The sequence below is a fragment of the Homo sapiens genome, chromosome 20 (assembly GCF_000001405.40).
Source record: "Homo sapiens chromosome 20, GRCh38.p14 Primary Assembly".
In the NCBI taxonomy this organism is placed as follows: Eukaryota; Metazoa; Chordata; class Mammalia; order Primates; family Hominidae; genus Homo; species Homo sapiens.
This window is the reverse complement of record NC_000020.11, coordinates 62,460,629-62,476,912: the sequence shown is the minus strand read 5'-3', so window position 1 is coordinate 62,476,912 and position 16,284 is coordinate 62,460,629. Positions and strand designations below refer to the sequence as shown.

Genomic DNA, 16,284 nt, shown 5'->3' with positions numbered 1-16,284 from the left:
AAAGAAAGAAAGAAAGAAAGAAAGAAAAAAAGAAAAAAAGAACTTTCATGGCCGCCAAGCCTGGGTCCACCCGGTGTGCTCCGAGCCCGCCGTTCCGTTTCCCGCAACCTGCGGAGCTGCTCCGCGGCAGCGGCGCCTCCATGCAGCCCTCACCGGGAGTGCGAGCGGGACACGGTTCCCTGACCTGGGTCGCCTCCTACCCACACGCATTTCTGGCGCCTGGAGGAAACTCTTCCCGAGTCCCCGAGAGCCGGCTGAGAGCCCCACCGGGGTTGGGGCCTTCGAGCCTGGCACCCAGATCGGGCCTTAGAGGCTGGACCCTGCCCACCTCCCACTGGGACCCCGAGCCTTGTGGCCCCGCTTGCTCAGAAACCGAGGAAATCGCGGGGCTCCCGCCAGTGCACCCCGTCCCAGTCCAGCGACCCGAGCCGGCCGTCCCTATGGAAGCCGGTTCCCTGCACCGAGCCCCGGGTGCGGCCACGCAACGAGGGGGCCCACGGGGTTCCACCGCCGCGTGTCCATCGGTGAGCGGGGCCGGGATCACCGACTCAGCCACCAGACACGGAGCCCGTCTTTAGGCCAGCCTTCGGCGGGGGCCGGGGCAGGGAGGCAGAGGGCTCGGGACTCGCACAAACTTGGAGAAGTCTCTGCGCCCGACTCCCCGGGGCCCACGAAGCCCTCGGCCCGCCCGTCTAGCTGCACTGGTCCGGGCTCCGCGCTGGCCGCCCCGTGTCGTGCGTCCTTGTCGCCAAGCCCCGCGAGCAGGGCCTGCCAGGGTCACGTGGCTCTACGGCCGGAGCCCCAGCGCTGACCCTGCGGGGAAGAAGGGGCGGGCGCGGGGAGGGAAGGGGCGGCGCGGCGGGGGCGGGCCGGGGCGGCGCGGAGGGGGCTGCGGAGCCTCAGCGGCCCGGGCTTCCAGTCTTCGGCCCGCCGGTCGCCGACCCACCGCCACCGCCGTGCCCTGCCGCCCTCCCTGCCCGCTGGTGAGTGCTCCAGCCCGGGCTGCAGCCGCGCGCCCCTCCCCACCCGGCCCCTCCCAGCGCGGCGGGGCCCCGCTCTCCAGGCCCTGCGTCCTGCGGCCGCGCCAGGCCCGTCCTTCCCAGGCCCCCACCGAGCTCACCCCGGGGACCTCCGAAGCCCGGTCGGGGAGGAGGTGGGCTCGGCGTTGTGACTGCCCCGGGGATGACGCGCTGGCCTCTCCCATCCCCGCGGTTCCTCTCCCTCGGGTTCGGGGACCCGCCCCGCGAACGTCCCGGGCTGGGGACTGGGAAGCGCTGCCCGAAGCGGCGGCACCTGCCCGGCATAAGCTCGGGCGCTGGCGGAGGGCGCAGAGCTCCCGTGACCTCCACACCTGTCCCTCTTCCCTGCAGGTCAAGACCACGCCTGGGAGGATGTACCAGAGCCTGGCGCTGGCCGCGAGCCCCCGCCAGGCCGCCTACGCCGACTCGGGCTCCTTCCTGCACGCTCCGGGCGCCGGCTCTCCGATGTTTGTGCCGCCGGCGCGCGTCCCCTCGATGCTGTCCTACCTGTCCGGGTGTGAGCCGAGCCCGCAGCCCCCCGAGCTCGCTGCGCGCCCCGGCTGGGCGCAGACAGCCACCGCGGATTCGTCGGCCTTCGGCCCGGGCAGTCCGCACCCCCCAGCCGCGCACCCGCCCGGGGCCACCGCCTTCCCTTTCGCGCACAGCCCCTCGGGGCCCGGCAGCGGCGGCAGCGCGGGGGGCCGAGACGGCAGTGCCTACCAGGGCGCGCTGTTGCCTCGAGAACAGTTCGCGGCCCCGCTTGGGCGGCCGGTGGGGACCTCGTACTCCGCCACCTACCCGGCCTACGTGAGCCCCGACGTGGCCCAGTCCTGGACTGCCGGGCCCTTCGATGGCAGCGTCCTGCACGGCCTCCCAGGCCGCAGGCCCACCTTCGGTGAGTGCGGGGGCTCCACAGTCTCGGGGCCCAGGAGCGGCCGAATCCGGGTGCAAACCCGCACCCTGCGAAACGCTCCCCTCATCCTCCCCCACGGTCCGAGCCTCCCTGCCAGGAGCGACACCAGCAGCCCCGGGGCGAGACGAGTAAACCTGGGTAACACCCCGCACGGGAAACACCCATCCAGAATTCTGTTTTAACCTGTTAATGAGAAGGAACATCTATTTCCAAACAGCATTCCGGATTGTGCCAATGTGGAGCCTCAAAAGTCTTAATCGTTTTTGTTTTTGTTTTTGAAAAGTTTTGGAAACGATTTTTATAAAGCCCAAAACATCGGTTTATTTAAGTGGCCACATTCGTCTCGGTTCTAGGACGTTTACTGATTTTAATTTGAGACCTGGTTTCAGTCGCTTCCCGAGTATCAGTTTGGAGAATCGGATTCTCGGCCTGTGAGGGGAGCGGCTCTTCCCGGTTGCAGCGTAGTCACTTTCTGGCGAAGGCGGCTCCTCTGAGCTCCGCAGGGGCCCATCCCGTCCCTCCGGGACCTTGGAGGCCTCGACACCCAGCTCCGGAGCTGCCTTTGGGACCCCGCCGGCCCTTTGGCGCAGGAAGCGGGCGCAGCGGCATCCGCAGGACCCCTGGCCCCCGCCTCCCTGGACAGCCCGGCTGCTGGCGCCCACCCCCGGCGGGGCGATGATTGATCCCTGCCCCACCCCCACTCGGCGCCCGGGCCTCCCTCGCGCCGGCGCCGGGCCGGGCCTGGAGGGGACCAGGAAGACCTCCACCCCCAGCCGCACAGTGTGCGAAGCCCGGCCCCAGGGGGCTGTGAGGCGGGGCTGGCCTTCTAAAGGAAGGACACTGGTTGCGACCACAGCCAAGCTGACAGAAGGCACCTCCTCCACCCTCCCAACCCCCCACCCCTGTCATGGACCCGCTTTGCAGAACAGGAGGACAGCGGGGTTAGCGTTCCCAGGAGAGCCCAGGGGCGCCCAAGAGTGTCTGCCAGATAAAGCCCCTTCATCCCTCCCCTGCCAGTGTAGACACCACTTCATCCACCTCCCCCGCCAGTGTAGACACCCTGCTTTCCCAGCAGGTCAAACAGGCAGAGGCCAGTGCTGGCCCCCGGTCCCGGAGCCGGGAGTCCCAGGTGTCTGTCTTCAGGTTCTGTTTATTAACACCCCATCCTCGAAAAACCAACCCTAGCGAATTTTATCGTATGTGAATTAAAAATTTAAAAATAAGATGAAGTAAGCAAATAAATTTTAAAATAAAATACATCTAAGGCACAAGATTTGTGCCTTAAGTTTATTCGTCTGACGAAAGCCGCCAGGCTCCTGGGGAGGGGAGGGTGCCGGCCCATGAGCTGGGGAGGATCCTGGGGAGGGGAGGGCCCGGGCCCACCAGCTGCCTGTCCCCTCAGTGTCCGACTTCTTGGAGGAGTTCCCGGGTGAGGGTCGTGAGTGTGTCAACTGCGGGGCCCTGTCCACACCGCTGTGGCGCCGAGACGGCACCGGCCACTACCTGTGCAATGCCTGCGGCCTCTACCACAAGATGAATGGCGTCAACCGGCCGCTCGTTCGGCCTCAGAAGCGCCTGGTGAGTTCGGGCTGGGCAGAGGGGCGCCTGGGCGCAGTGCTCCCCCGAGGGGACCTCTTGCAATCCACCCAGGTGACACCAGAGCCCCTGGGGTAGGGGGTAGGGAGTGTCCCAAAAACAGCCTGGGTGCCCGCCCCGGTGGGTCAGGTCAGGCCGGCTCAGGTCTTCTTTGAGAGCGCTCAGGGCAGGGCAGGGGATCCCAGTGGGGATGCCAGGGGCCACCAGCTCATAGCGCCCAGCCCTGGAGCGCTCTGGGGGCCAGGAGCCCAGGCTCTGGAGCAACGGTGTCAGCCAGGCTCAGCTGAGTGCTGGGTCCAAGAAGGCCTGCTGCCAGGAGCCAGGAGCTCAGCCCTACGAGTCGGTGGTGGCTGGCTGTGGCCTGGCCCTGTCTCGGAGGCCTCAAGGTGACCCTACCTGGGATGAGGCTTGAGGGAAGGTGGCTGCTGGATACTTGATTGAAGGGCCTTGAAATCTGAAACTGGAGAGTCTTTGGGTCTGTAGTCCCCTCGGGGAGCACTTTCTACCCATATTTCAGGGACCGCAGGGACACCAGGTTTATGCCTGTCCTCTGCCTCATGGGCTAAACTTGTTTTCACTTTTGGTTCTTCCTGGCTTGTGGCTGAGCAGGGAGTGGGGGACTCCGGAGCCTGGACTTTTGCCCCAGGCAGGGCACAGTCCCCAGAGGCTGGAAGAGGCTGAAAGTTGCTTTGTTCTATACGTTTCCCCAGGCAAACCTTTACTTTCGAGTAATTGTACAAATAAGGATTTGGGGTGTTGATGTCGTTTGCAAGTTATCTAAAATTGGGGAGGCCACAGTGGCACCTGGGTCAGAAGGCTGAGCAAGGGTATGTTCCTGGGCACCAAGTCCTCCTCCGCTGGTGGTGTGGACTCCGTGCGGGGTCGATCAGCCAGCTCCCGCCGTCACCCTGGGTGGAGGCCAGCCCTCCTGCCGCTGTCCTTGCCGGGTGGCTGTTCTAGATGCCTGGATTCGCGTGCTATGCCGGTGCAGCTCTGAACATCCCTCAGTTACAGGCTGAGGGGAAATCCTGGGGCCCTGGGCTGTGGGGGACCAGGACCTGAGCGTGGGAGGTCCCAGTGGAGCAGGTGGTGGGAAGCAGGACCACAGGCCGGGGGCGGCCGTCACTTCTCTTCCTTGGAGCTGGCCTAGGGCCTGGGGCTCTGCAGGCCCAGCCTCCTCCCATGCCTGCCTCTCGGAGGGAAGGCTCCTAGGAGTCCATCCCCCTCTTGGCTTGTGTGCCGCTGTGACTCTGCCTGTGCTCCCAGGTGTGCTGTTCCAGCCTGGCGTCCACGTGGCCCTCACTGAGGGGTTAACCACTGAGGTTAAGAAGGGGTTAGGGGCCAGGCACGGTGGCTCATACCTATAGTCCCAGAATTTTGGAAGGCTGAAGCAGGAGGATTGCTTAAGCTCAGGAGTTCGAGACCAGCCTGGGCAACATAGCAAGAACCCATCTCCACTAAAAATTTAAAAAAAAAAAAAAAAAAGAAATTAGTCAGACATGGTAGCACACACCTGTGGTCCCAGCTACTCAGGAGGCTGAGGCAGGATGATCACTTGAGCCCAAGAGTTCAAGGGTATAGTAAGCTATGATCACACCAAGGCACTCCAGCCTGGGCAACAGAGGGAGACTCTGTCTCTAAAAATAAATAAATTGGTCCTGTGCAATGGCTCATGCCTGTAATCCCAGCACTTTGGGAGGCTAAGGCAGGAGGATCACTTGAGCCCAGGAGTTCGAAACCAGCTTGGGCAACATAGGGAGACCAGGTCTCTACAAAAAATTTAAAAGTTAGCCAGTCACGATGGCACACACCCATGGTCCCAGCTACTTGAGAGGCTGAGGCAGGAGGATCTTTTGAGCTGAGAGGCTGAGGCTGCAATGAGCCGAGATGGCACCACTGCACTCCAGCCTGGGCAACAGAGCAAGACCTCATCACAAAAAAAAAAAAAAAAATTGTAATTGAAATTAACTTCTCTTTAATTTAATTACATTTTAAGTTAAATTAAATTTTTTTTTAAAAAAGAGAAGTGGTAGGGAGCTCAGCCCAGCTCCCGTGAGACTGCAGCCCAGACCTCCCTTCACCCTCACCCATGCAAAGGGCTGCCCCTCCTCTGGCTGTATCCACTCTCCCCACTGCCAGGCCTTGAACTGAGCACCGGGACACTCTGGTGTCAGGAGGAGCTGCTAGGAGGGAGCCCCTCCTGCTGCCCTGCCCTGCCCTGGGTCTTCCAGCCGGGCAATACCTGTGTCCAGTTGGATCCCAGACTCCTGGGCTGGGGCATCTCGTAGACAGTTCCCCAGCTCTTTGAGCCTTTGTCTCCTCATCTGAGAAGTGGGGAGAGGAACTTGGAACCGTCCACACCTTGCTGTAAAAGTTAAATTAGCTGGTGTTGTGTGCTTGGGCCTTGGCTCTGAGGACGGGCTAATGGGGGCCCTTGGCGTGATGAGGCCTCCATTCCCTGGTCTGGGGTAGACAGGGTGGGCTTTGGGGTGCCTCCTGGGGGAGGACCCTGTTTACTGTCCATCTTGCCAAGACCAGAGGCCTCGGAGGGTAGGGACCACCGTGCCCTCTCCCCATGGTCTGGCTCTGTGCTCGGACACGGTTGGGAGCTCTTGGGCCCCAAGCAGCCCACCCCCAAGAACACTGAAGCCTCGGCTGAAGCCTGGGGCCCGGCAGCCAAGGGCAGTGCGGACAGCAGACCTCCTAGCCCTGAGCCACCTCTGGCACCAGCTCCAGGAAGTAGCCCAGTGTTGCATGGAGCCAAGCGTCCCTTCCCGCTGAGCAAGACTGGTCCTTACCTGGAGTCAGGCACCTAACACCCACCCAACCCCAGGGTTTCCTTCCTTCGAGCCCTTCACAGACCCACGTCCCCAAGTCAGTTTGTCCTCGGCCAGCAAGGGGCATGGGCACTGTATCAAGTGCTTACTACATCCCCCCTCCAGGAGGGGACCTGTTTGAATTTGGAGACATTCCAGCCACTCACCCGTCCCCAAGGCTCAGACTCTGCGGCACAGCAGCCTCTGGTTGTCCACGGCCCAGTCTTCCATCTCAGAGGAGGCTGCTGCACTGCGGGTCACTGTGACCTGCACCTTTACTCCAAAGTGTTTCCCGGCGTGTGCGCTTCATCCCTCCAAGCCAGGCTCGAACCTCCTTCCCTCTCCCGCCTTCCTTGAATTTCCGCCAGCACCGGCCCGGGCCCTGCCCTGCCCAGAGCCTGATTTATTTGGATGTCTCAGATGCACACAGAGCCTGGTGCTTAGAGCGGCTCTGCTGCGCGCAAGGAGGCTTTGAAGTTTGACTTCTTTTGAAAAGAACCGACAAAAAAGAAAAACGAAATGCAGCCGGGAGAGAGGCCTGGGGGGCAGGGTGCTGAGTGTGGCCAGGCTGGGCTGCTTGTTGGGCAGTGAGGAGGGGACAAATGAAGGCATCGTCGCGGTATGGTGGCACAGGGAGCCCCAGCGCGGGCAAGCTGCTGGGAGCGTGTCCCCTAAGTACCTGGCCGAGGGGGGCGGTTCTGTCCACCCCGGGCCTCCCCAGTTTCCTCTGGTCCCGCAGCTCCTCTGAGCCTCAGCCTCCCACTCGTACAATAGCGATCTGGTGAAGATTTAGGAAAGGGTAGGTGAAGACGCACTTTGAAAAGTGTTGTGAGGTCCATGTTTTTCCCATTGTCTTAATTTGATAGACATGAAACATGCTCACTGTGAAAACATTCAAGGTGGGTTCCAGGTGTTTCCCTGGCACTCGCAGGGGTGCGGGGTGAGGGGTGTGCCCGCTGCTGGGGGCTGTCCCAACCCACGCACGTCCTGCGCGCCCCACCTTGTTTCTTTCCACAACCCGTGTCTCAGACGTGGCTCCGTCGGGGCGTGCTGGCAGCTGTGCGGGGACGTGTGGAGTGTGCTCATGTGTGTGCACCCCTATCTGTGTGTGCTAAGGGGTGATGGCCGGTCCCAGACCCGAGGGTCCCTCTGGTTCAGGGAAGAGGATGGGCCTTGGGCCATGGATGCCCCTCAGTCTGAAGGCGGGGACTGCTGGGGCACAAGGAGGGAGTCAGCAAATAAACTCCAGGCCACACACGGTTCCATGTGATTTCAGATAAACACAAATATTTTAGCATTCATGTCCCAAATACTGCAGGAGACAAAGGATTCATCATGTATCAGAAATTCACATTTACCTAGGCAGAAATTCACATTTACCTAGGCATCCTGGGTCAATCCGTCTGGCAGCCCTGGGGGAGATTTCTTTCCACTTCAGGAAGACAGACGGATGGGTGGGTGTCCGAGAGGTGGGAAGGAGACCATGCCTCATGCTGGACAGTGGCCTGAGGCCACCAAGAAAGCAGCCACAGCACCTGGCACCTGACGAGGATAGAAGAGAGGGAGGCTGGACCAAACTCAAATCCTGTCCAGTAACAGTAGCTGCTTCTAGACCCATCAGGGTGTGGCAGGGGGCATCCCAGGGAGAGACACCATCTGGGGGCCCTGGGTGACCCCAATTGCTCCTGCACGAAGGGTGCCCACCATCCAGCCGGGGCCAGGCACCATCTCCCTCCCAGCTCTGCTGGGGCCTGGGCTGGGCCCTCCAGCGTGAGCAGAAGTCTCACCCCCAGCATCCCCCTAGAGAGACCACTGGAGACCCTGAGTGGCTGGATGCTGTTGGCCCAGGGTGGGAGACATTGTCCTCCGCAGTCAGGCCAGGAGCTGCAAGCTGAGGCACCTCTCAAGCCTCCCCGGCCTCATTGGCCTGGCCCCCTCCTTTCCTTTCTGCCCCTTTGTCATGGAGCTCAGGGCAGGGTCCTGCCTGGAGACAGGAGGCCTGGCCCCAGATGAAGCAGGGGCAGCGTTCCCAGAGCCTTTGGCAACTGCCTGCAGCTGTGGCTGGGGGTTGAGGGGGCCTTGAGTTTGGGGGCTGGCTGGTACTCAGGGCTGCAGGGAGGCCCCCACTCTCCCACTCAGGCCTTCGACAGGACGGCCTGTGCCCTTGGCAGCAGCCTGGGGGAAGGGTAGGCAGGAGATGGTCAGCAAGGCCGGCCCTCATCTGATCATAGAGGGCAGTAACAGATGGGGAAACCGAGGCAGGCTATAACAGATGGGGAAACCGAGGCTGGCTGTTTCTGCCCATGGCAGTAACAGACGGGGAAACCGAGGCAGGCTGTAACAGACGGGGAAGCCGAGGCTGGCTGTGTCTGCTCATAGAGGGCTGTAACAGATGGGGAAACCGAGGCAGGCTGTAACAGACGGGGAAGCCGAGGCTGGCTGTGTCTGCTCATGGCAGTAACAGATGGGGAAACCGAGGCGGGCTGTAACAGACGGGGAAGCCGAGGCTGGCTGTGTCTGCTCATAGAGGGCTGTAACAGATGGGGAAACCGAGGCAGGCTGTAACAGACGGGGAAGCCGAGGCTGGCTGTGTCTGTTCATAGAGGGCTGTAACAGATGGGGAAACCGAGGTGGGCTGTAACAGACAGGAAAACTGAGGCTGGCTGTGTCTGCTCACGTAAGTAACAGACACAGACGGGGAAGCCGAGGCTGGCTGTGTCTGCTCAGCCCTCGTCCAGGATGGATTCTTTTCCCCTAGTGTGGCTGGCTCACTTGTGCCTGCTGTCTGGCTCTGTCCTGGCTAGAGAATCTGGGGGCATGGCTTTGAGTGTGGGGGGCCCATTCTCATGGGCTGCGTCCTGTGCCTGAGGCACACTGATGGTCTGGCCCTGGCTGCCGCCGGGAGGGCAGGAGAGAGCTCCTGCAGAGCCACCACTGTGATCCTGGCAAGAGAGGCCGGGGACCTGGACCAGGCAGGGGCTGTGCAACCTGAGGGAAGGGGACCGATGGGGTCAGGGTAGGGGCTGGGGGTAGAAACAGCAGCCCCCCAGGAGAACCAGGTCTGGGGACAAGTGGCTGGGAAGGGTGGTGCCACCAGCAGAGCTGTGCTCTGAGATTCGGGAAAGGGCTTCAAGTCTGAGGTGCCTCTGGGGCCCTGGGCTGGAGCTCCCGAGCTCCCAAACACCACCTCCCTCCAAGCACCAACTTGTGCGGCCAGTGGGAGAAAGGCTGGCTTGAGCTGGTGGGAGGCCCCTGGTCCACCTTCAACAGGGACTCCCCAGGCAGCCAGCTCAGAGCCTCCCAGGCCTCCCTCAGTTCAGATTCCTGAGCCCCAGCTGAGCTCACGGACTGGGGCCCTGGAGGTTTGGGACCTCTGATTGGACCCGGGCCTGCCAGATTGGGGTCAGTCTCTACTGAGAGCCACGGGAAGGAGGGAGGCAATGTTGGAGCCTCTGGAAGGTTCCAGATGGGTCTAGTCTTGCTCCACCACCAGGCGCAGTGCACAGCAATGGGGAGACATAGGCAGGTGGGACCCGGAGCCCTCAGCCTCTGTCCGGTGGGGCCCCCCGGCCTGGGAGGCGGGTGTCCAGGGGGACCACAGGCCCTGACGCTTGTTGTGTCTTGGCCTCCGGGGGACCCTGTGGCCTTGGAGTGCTGCTGCACTGCAGAACCGCGGGGTCCAGGCGCAGGGTTGGTGATAAAGAGACAATAGGGAAACCGTTGCCGTGTCTAGGTGCCTGGCCCCCACGGGCTCTGAACCCCACAACTGGCCTGTGGTGGGTCTGTTATCACCCCCTTTTTACTTGGGGGGAAACTGAGGCCCAGGAAGGTAAAGTTACCTTTCCCAGGGCTCGAGAGCGTGTCCAGGCAGAGCTGCCAGGCGAGGCCATTGCAGAGCTCACGACCTTCTCACCGGGTCCTGCGTGGCCGCAAGGCCGACCTGAGTCTCGCTTCCGTCCCCCTGCTCCAGCCGCGCACCCGGCCCGGGGCTCACTCCAGTCTCCCTCGCCCCCACAGTCCTCGTCCCGCCGCGCCGGCCTCTGCTGCACCAACTGCCACACGACCAACACCACGCTGTGGCGGCGGAACTCGGAGGGGGAGCCCGTGTGCAATGCCTGCGGCCTCTACATGAAGCTGCACGGGGTGAGTGTGGTCCCCGGGGCAGGGCGGGGAGGCCTCTGTCCAGCCTCCTAGCGAGCGCCGTCCGCACTCTCAGACCAAGAGGCTGGGGAGGAGCGGGCAGGATGGCTATTGTCCCCTGGGCTGTTGTACACACATGTCCCGGCCGGCCGACTGCGGCACCACCCCCGGGGGCCCGGGCTATTCCTGTTACACTCACGGCACAGACGCGCTGACTGAGGCTCACCACAGCCATTCGGCCTGGGCCAGACAAGGACACTGCTCCTGCCCTCTGGGCACCCCTGGTGCCTTCTGGCCCCTGGCAGCTCTGTCGGACGGGGGAATGGGAATCCAGCTCCACGGGCTCCCCCTCACCCAGCCCAGCTGGCAGCTGACCCACCAGGGCTGTGAGGACACAGCCAGCTCCAGGAGTGACCGGCTCTGGGGGGCTGGAATGAGGGGGTGCTGTGCAAGGGGCCCGGGGTGAGCAGGGATGGGACCAGCCTCCACCCTCGCCACCCCTGCCAGGTGCCGCGGCCTCTGGCTATGAAGAAGGAAAGCATCCAGACACGGAAGCGGAAGCCAAAGACCATCGCCAAGGCCAGGGGCTCCTCAGGTGCGTGGCCAGGCCCTGCAGTCAGCCCCGCTCCTGCGGAGTGGCCTTCGGTGCCTCCAGTTCCGTCATGAGAGACCTGTGTGTTTGGTTCAAGCACAGTCCTCTGGAAGTCCAAATGCCCCCAGCTCTGCCCTGTGGTGACCTTGCTGGGGGGGGTGTGGGGTGCCAGGGTGGTGACAGCATGTGGGCAGCAGGGGCAGAGGTGGGGCCAAAGAAGCCACGCCCGGCCACACCACCCACGCCTGCGGTGTGACCGTGAGGAGTCTCCAAACCTCTCTGGGCCGGGGCCAGAGGAGACCCGCTACATGGCAGGAAGGGGAAGTGAGGCCACACCTGACCCCTCTGTAAACACCCCCTCTTCGCTTCCAGGATCCACAAGGAATGCCTCGGCCTCCCCATCTGCTGTCGCCAGCACTGACAGCTCAGCAGCCACTTCGAAAGCCAAGCCCAGCCTGGCGTCCCCAGTGTGCCCTGGGCCCAGCATGGCCCCCCAGGTAAGGGGGTGGGCTGGGGTGGGGTGCCCAGAGCTGGGGCCCCTGTGCTTCCTCCGCCAAGTCAGATCCCATCAGAGCCCCTCGGAGCCTCTTCCAGCAGGTGGGCTGGACACACCGGCTGCCTTCGGCCATCAGTATGGTGGCCCTTCCCCTAGAGCTGGCTCTGTGCCAGATGTGGGAGAAACCCCAGTGCCTCACGTGGGGTCCCCCATGCCATTCCAGGGCATCAGGGGGTCCCTAAGGGCAAATACCGGTCATGGGAGCTCCTGACCTAAGAGGCTGCAGCTTCCCCCAGCCCCCCACGCCCCACGCCCCACCCCACATTCTCACGCTCTCCTGTCCCTGCAGGCCTCTGGCCAGGAGGATGACTCTCTTGCCCCCGGCCACTTGGAGTTCAAGTTCGAGCCTGAGGACTTTGCCTTCCCCTCCACGGCCCCAAGCCCCCAGGCTGGCCTCAGGGGGGCTCTGCGCCAAGAGGCCTGGTGTGCGCTGGCCTTGGCCTAGGTCCCCAGGCCAGCCCATGTCAGGGGAACAGCCTGGAACAGACCACCCACTGAGTCACCTCCGTGCCTGCTTTGCTCCAGCACAGCAGAGACCAGCAGGCCCCCCAACCCAGAGACTGGGTCTGCTGGAGTCTCCACACAGTGGTGGGGAGGCCTTCTGGACAGACGGCAGTCGGGCCCCAGAGCAAGAAGGCTGGTGAGGGAAGGGCTCAGCTTCCCACCCCACGTACAGCAAGGGACTCCCCAGGTGCGGCCCAAGGCTCCGGACCACACTGGCCCCCTGCGGCGGAGGCCAACGCAGGGCACCACCACCACCAACTTGAATTCCGTCATCAATGCTCACCGTCAATATGTTTACAAGTTGTAGCAGTTGGGGGAAAACAGTCAACCTCCCAGTGTAAAACCAAGATTCCCAGTGAAGCACCTGAGGCCAAGCAGGGGAGAGGAATGAGGGGAGCAGCTGGACATGGGCCTCCTGAGGCCTCGGGGCTGTCCTTCATTGCCCACATGGATAGACGGAGCTGTGGTGCAGAGAACTTTTCCCGCAACAGGTGCAGGACTGCCAGGGATCGGAGTGCGGGCCGCGCACGGTGCCAGGATTCCGCCGAGGGGAAGCCGCTCACATTGCAGTCATCACAGACTTACGCACTTGTTTGGACAGTTTTTCCAGAGGGGATGGGAAAGGGCCTTGTTCTAGCTGAATCTGTGTATCATGACCATTTCTGACAGGCAGAATGAATTGTCTGGTAGCCCTGTCCTGACCCATCCAAGCGCTGTTGGGGCTGGTGGTGACGTGGTCACATGTCCTGGCATATCTGGGGCCACGCAGTTTAGTCTCTTGTCCCAGGAGAATTGTTAGTGACCCCTCTTTCTCTTGCAAGCCCCCTCCACACTGGGTTGGATGATACCTTAATGAGTGACGCTGGCGAGAGGCACCCTACCCGACGCAGCTGTGAATGGCCGGTGATGTATGTCAGGAGGCCACAGGGAGCAGAGGAGCGGGGCAGGCAGCCACAGGGCCCTGCGGGGAGCACATCCTCGCCTCCGTCCGGCTGCTGCCCTTCAACAACAAGCCCTGATTTTTCCAGCAATGCCAGAAACCTGGATTTTAAGTCTTCCAATTTGATTCAAAAATATTTTTAACATTGTGAGCCAGCTAGACCCCCAGTGCACCACCCCATATTGAAAAACAGTTGTCTGGCATCAGCTTCAGGAGCGGGTCCGGTCATTCTGAAACTGTCCCTCCAGAGGTTCTTCCAGCCCCACTTCTATGCGATGTCATCTTTTCTAAAAGAGACAAATGAAGCCACAGGGAAAGTGAAATAAAGCCTTGAACCTCACTCACTCTCCCTTCCCCCGCCCATCACCCATGGGGTCTCCCATCTCCCCCTGCCCATCACCCGGGGGGGTCTCCCATCTCCCCCTACCCATCACCCAGGGGTGCTCCCATCTCCCCCCGCCCATCACCCGTGGGGTCTCCCATCTCCCCCTGCCCATCACCCGTGGGGTCTCCAAGTCCTGCCCTGCCTGCTGGTCACCACCCTCCTAGCGATTTCCGGCTATCCTCTGCGTTCTGAAACATCCCCGGTCCCCTGCGTCCCCCCAGGTGCCCTCAAGGACATCTCCAGGCCCTGATGGTGCTCAGGACCACCAGCATCCCCCAGGTCCCCAGCGGCTGAGAGAGGGGTGCCAGGCAGGGCAGGTGTGAGGCTCGGCAGTGGCACTCAACAGGCCTGGGGCCTGGCCCAGAGGCGCAGCAGAGGGGCTGGGCTGGTGAACGCCTCCATTCCCACAGGCTGGGTCCCTGCTCAGAACCTCCTCCTAGCCAAGCCCACCTCCTCCTGGAAGCCTTCCCTGTCTGCTCCCAACCTCCTGCATCCTATTAGGCACTGGGGTGGGGGCTGTGAGCAGCTCTAGTAACTTCCTCAGCCACCTGCCCCCCACTGGACCTGTCTCAAGAGAGAACTCAGGCAAGGCCCCTCATTCTAGCCCATGCAGTGGGAGCCATGCTGGGAGATTTTCAGCTCCGTGGGATCTGAGGTGGGCACGGGAGTCAGCATTTTAAACATGAACCCCTCAAACCTGCTGGGTGCCTGGGGGCCCACACTTTGAGAAACCCTGCACTATGATGGCTTCAGGGTCCGAATCCAGTTCAAGTTCCTGCCCTGCCCTGCTCATCTGGCCTGGGGATGGGGGACGGGGAAATGGGCTGGGGCAAGGTGGCACCTGTATCCCCATAAGGGTCACATGTGGCATCCGGGCACCATTGGGGATCACTTGCTACTGTCCTGTTTCCAAACCCAGAAGCCTCAGGCTGCCTTCCCGGGTGCCCGTGCACAATGAGGATACTGAGGCACAAGGGACTGAGGGTCGCCCCCTCAACCCAGCTCCTGCACATCTGCCTCAGGGCTCATGCTGGGCGTTGGGTCCCTGAATGGGAAAATGGGTGACAGTGACCTCCCAGGCCTCACCAGTGGCAGTGACCTCCCAGGCCTCTCCAGGCCAGGCCACAGCTGGGGAAGGACAGTCTGTCCCCCCGCAGGTTGGACGGTTGCTGCCTCTACCACCTGAAGGGCTGACCTTGGGAATCCACGTCTCTATGGAAGGTAAGGCCAGCCCAGCCTGTTGTCAGCACCCCAGACCCTGGGTGAGGGGGTGAGGGGGCCACAGACCCAGAAGGAAGGAGGCCTGAGGACGGCCTGGGGGAGAAAGCGGGAAGCTGCAGAGCTGCCTGGGCTGAGGACCTGGAGCAGGAGGCAGCCAGTGACTGTCTGCGTCGTGGTTTTCACATCAGCGCCTCCCCATGCCTGCTGCTGGGTGGACACTGCGCAGCCTCATCCTCGCACTCCCCGCTCCCAGGAAGCAGGCGTTGGTTTTCCTCTTCCCTGATGAGAAAAACCATGGCTCAGAGAGGTGACTCAAGGTGCCAGGGTCAGAGGGCACAGCACGGCGTCCCCAGACCACAGTGCTGGGTGCAATGGAGCTGGCCACGTTGCTTCCGTTCCGGCCTCGGTTTCCCCACCTCTGCTGGGGAGGGGGTGCCACAAATCCGTGGCCATATCTGTAATCCATGCACTTGTGTAGAAGGCGGGTCCCTAGGAGGCCCCAGTATAGGGAGGTGGCACCAGGCACCAATCCCTACCTGGAGAGGCTTCCTGGAGGTGTTTGTGGGGGTCGTGCAGGACAGGCAGGGTCCCCATAGGTAGAGTGGAAGGAGTCCAAGTGCTGACCCGACTGTGGCCCTGGACACACCCCATCCATGAAGGGAGGTCCCCAAAGGGAACAGGGGGATTTGCCCATGGGAAAAGGGGAAGCAACCCTTTCCCTGTTTTTATTCCATTTTTAGGGATGTGTCCGGGATGACGGAGGCTGACAGCTCCACCTCTGGGCATGGTCACTGCTGCTAAATTTAAGCCTTTCTCCTCTTAGGGCGGAAGCCATGAGGACCAGAGCCTTAATATAGCCGCCAGGCGCCCTGCACTCTCCTTCCCACCAGCCCTCCCTGCGCTCTGCCCAGCCAGCCATAAACAACCAGACGAGCCGGAGGTTGGCAGGCAAAGTGGCCCGGCCCCTTATCAGAGCGACAGGACTAAAAGGAAAGTCACTTTACCTGCACTGCCTGGACCTGGGCATACTGACTTCCCATCACCTTTTGAACTAAAGCAGATGCCCAGGCAGCCTTCAGGAGGAGGGCGCCGCACCTGGAAATCCCCAAAGACCTTGCAGCGGCCCCTCCAGCCTGCAGAAAGTGTCCACCAAGACCCTCGGTGCTCGGTCCTGGGCACCCTGGGGGAGGGAGAAGGCCCTGGTGAAGCCCCAAAACAGTATGGGCAGCATAGAAAAAGAAGAGAGACGCAGAGCCCCGTCAGCTGGGGCTTCCTGACCCAGAACCATTTATAGAGCCCTCCCGCTTCAAGCCCTTAATTTATGGCTTCATTCAGAGCAGAGCAGCAAGGCTGAAAGCACCCCAGGCCCTGAGCCTGCAGCCCTCACTCCTCAAAGCAGGCCCGGAGGCTGGCACGTCCTCACTCTCCCACCATTCCTGGACCTGGCTGCGGCCAACCAACGGGGTGCTCCTTGACACCCGTAGGTGTGTCTTGGCCAAACACGGACACTGGATCCCGAGAGCCGCCCTGTACAGGCATAAACCCGACCGGGCATCTGAGTCCTGGGGACACACCACATCTCCACTGTGCTGGGACCGCAGC

General features: G+C 62.2%; 1 protein-coding gene across 2 annotated transcripts, besides 1 other annotated feature; it reads left to right on the top strand.

The window, feature by feature from the left end:
* GATA5 (GATA binding protein 5) lies at positions 918–13,416 on the top strand. Of its 2 annotated transcripts, none has more exons than NM_080473.5 (7): positions 918–983; positions 1,371–1,914; positions 3,335–3,510; positions 10,362–10,487; positions 10,992–11,079; positions 11,449–11,573; positions 11,922–13,416. In NM_080473.5, exons 2-7 carry the CDS (start codon positions 1,392–1,394, stop codon positions 12,075–12,077), a joined length of 1,194 nt encoding a protein of 397 aa, NP_536721.1. In that variant the 5' UTR covers positions 918–983; positions 1,371–1,391; the 3' UTR covers positions 12,078–13,416. The 2 variants fall into 2 exon arrangements, with proteins under 2 accessions (NP_536721.1, XP_006723762.1); XM_006723699.3 differs by lacking the exon at positions 918–983 and adding an exon at positions 1,093–1,153.
* Positions 2,650–3,310: an enhancer, noted in NCBI's record as "H3K4me1 hESC enhancer chr20:61048659-61049319 (GRCh37/hg19 assembly coordinates)". NCBI's record gives its function as "activates a minimal SCP1, AML or CMV promoter by ChIP-STARR-seq in primed H9 embryonic stem cells {active_cell/tissue: H9 hESC(primed)}" and the evidence as "EXISTENCE:reporter gene assay evidence [ECO:0000049][PMID:30033119]".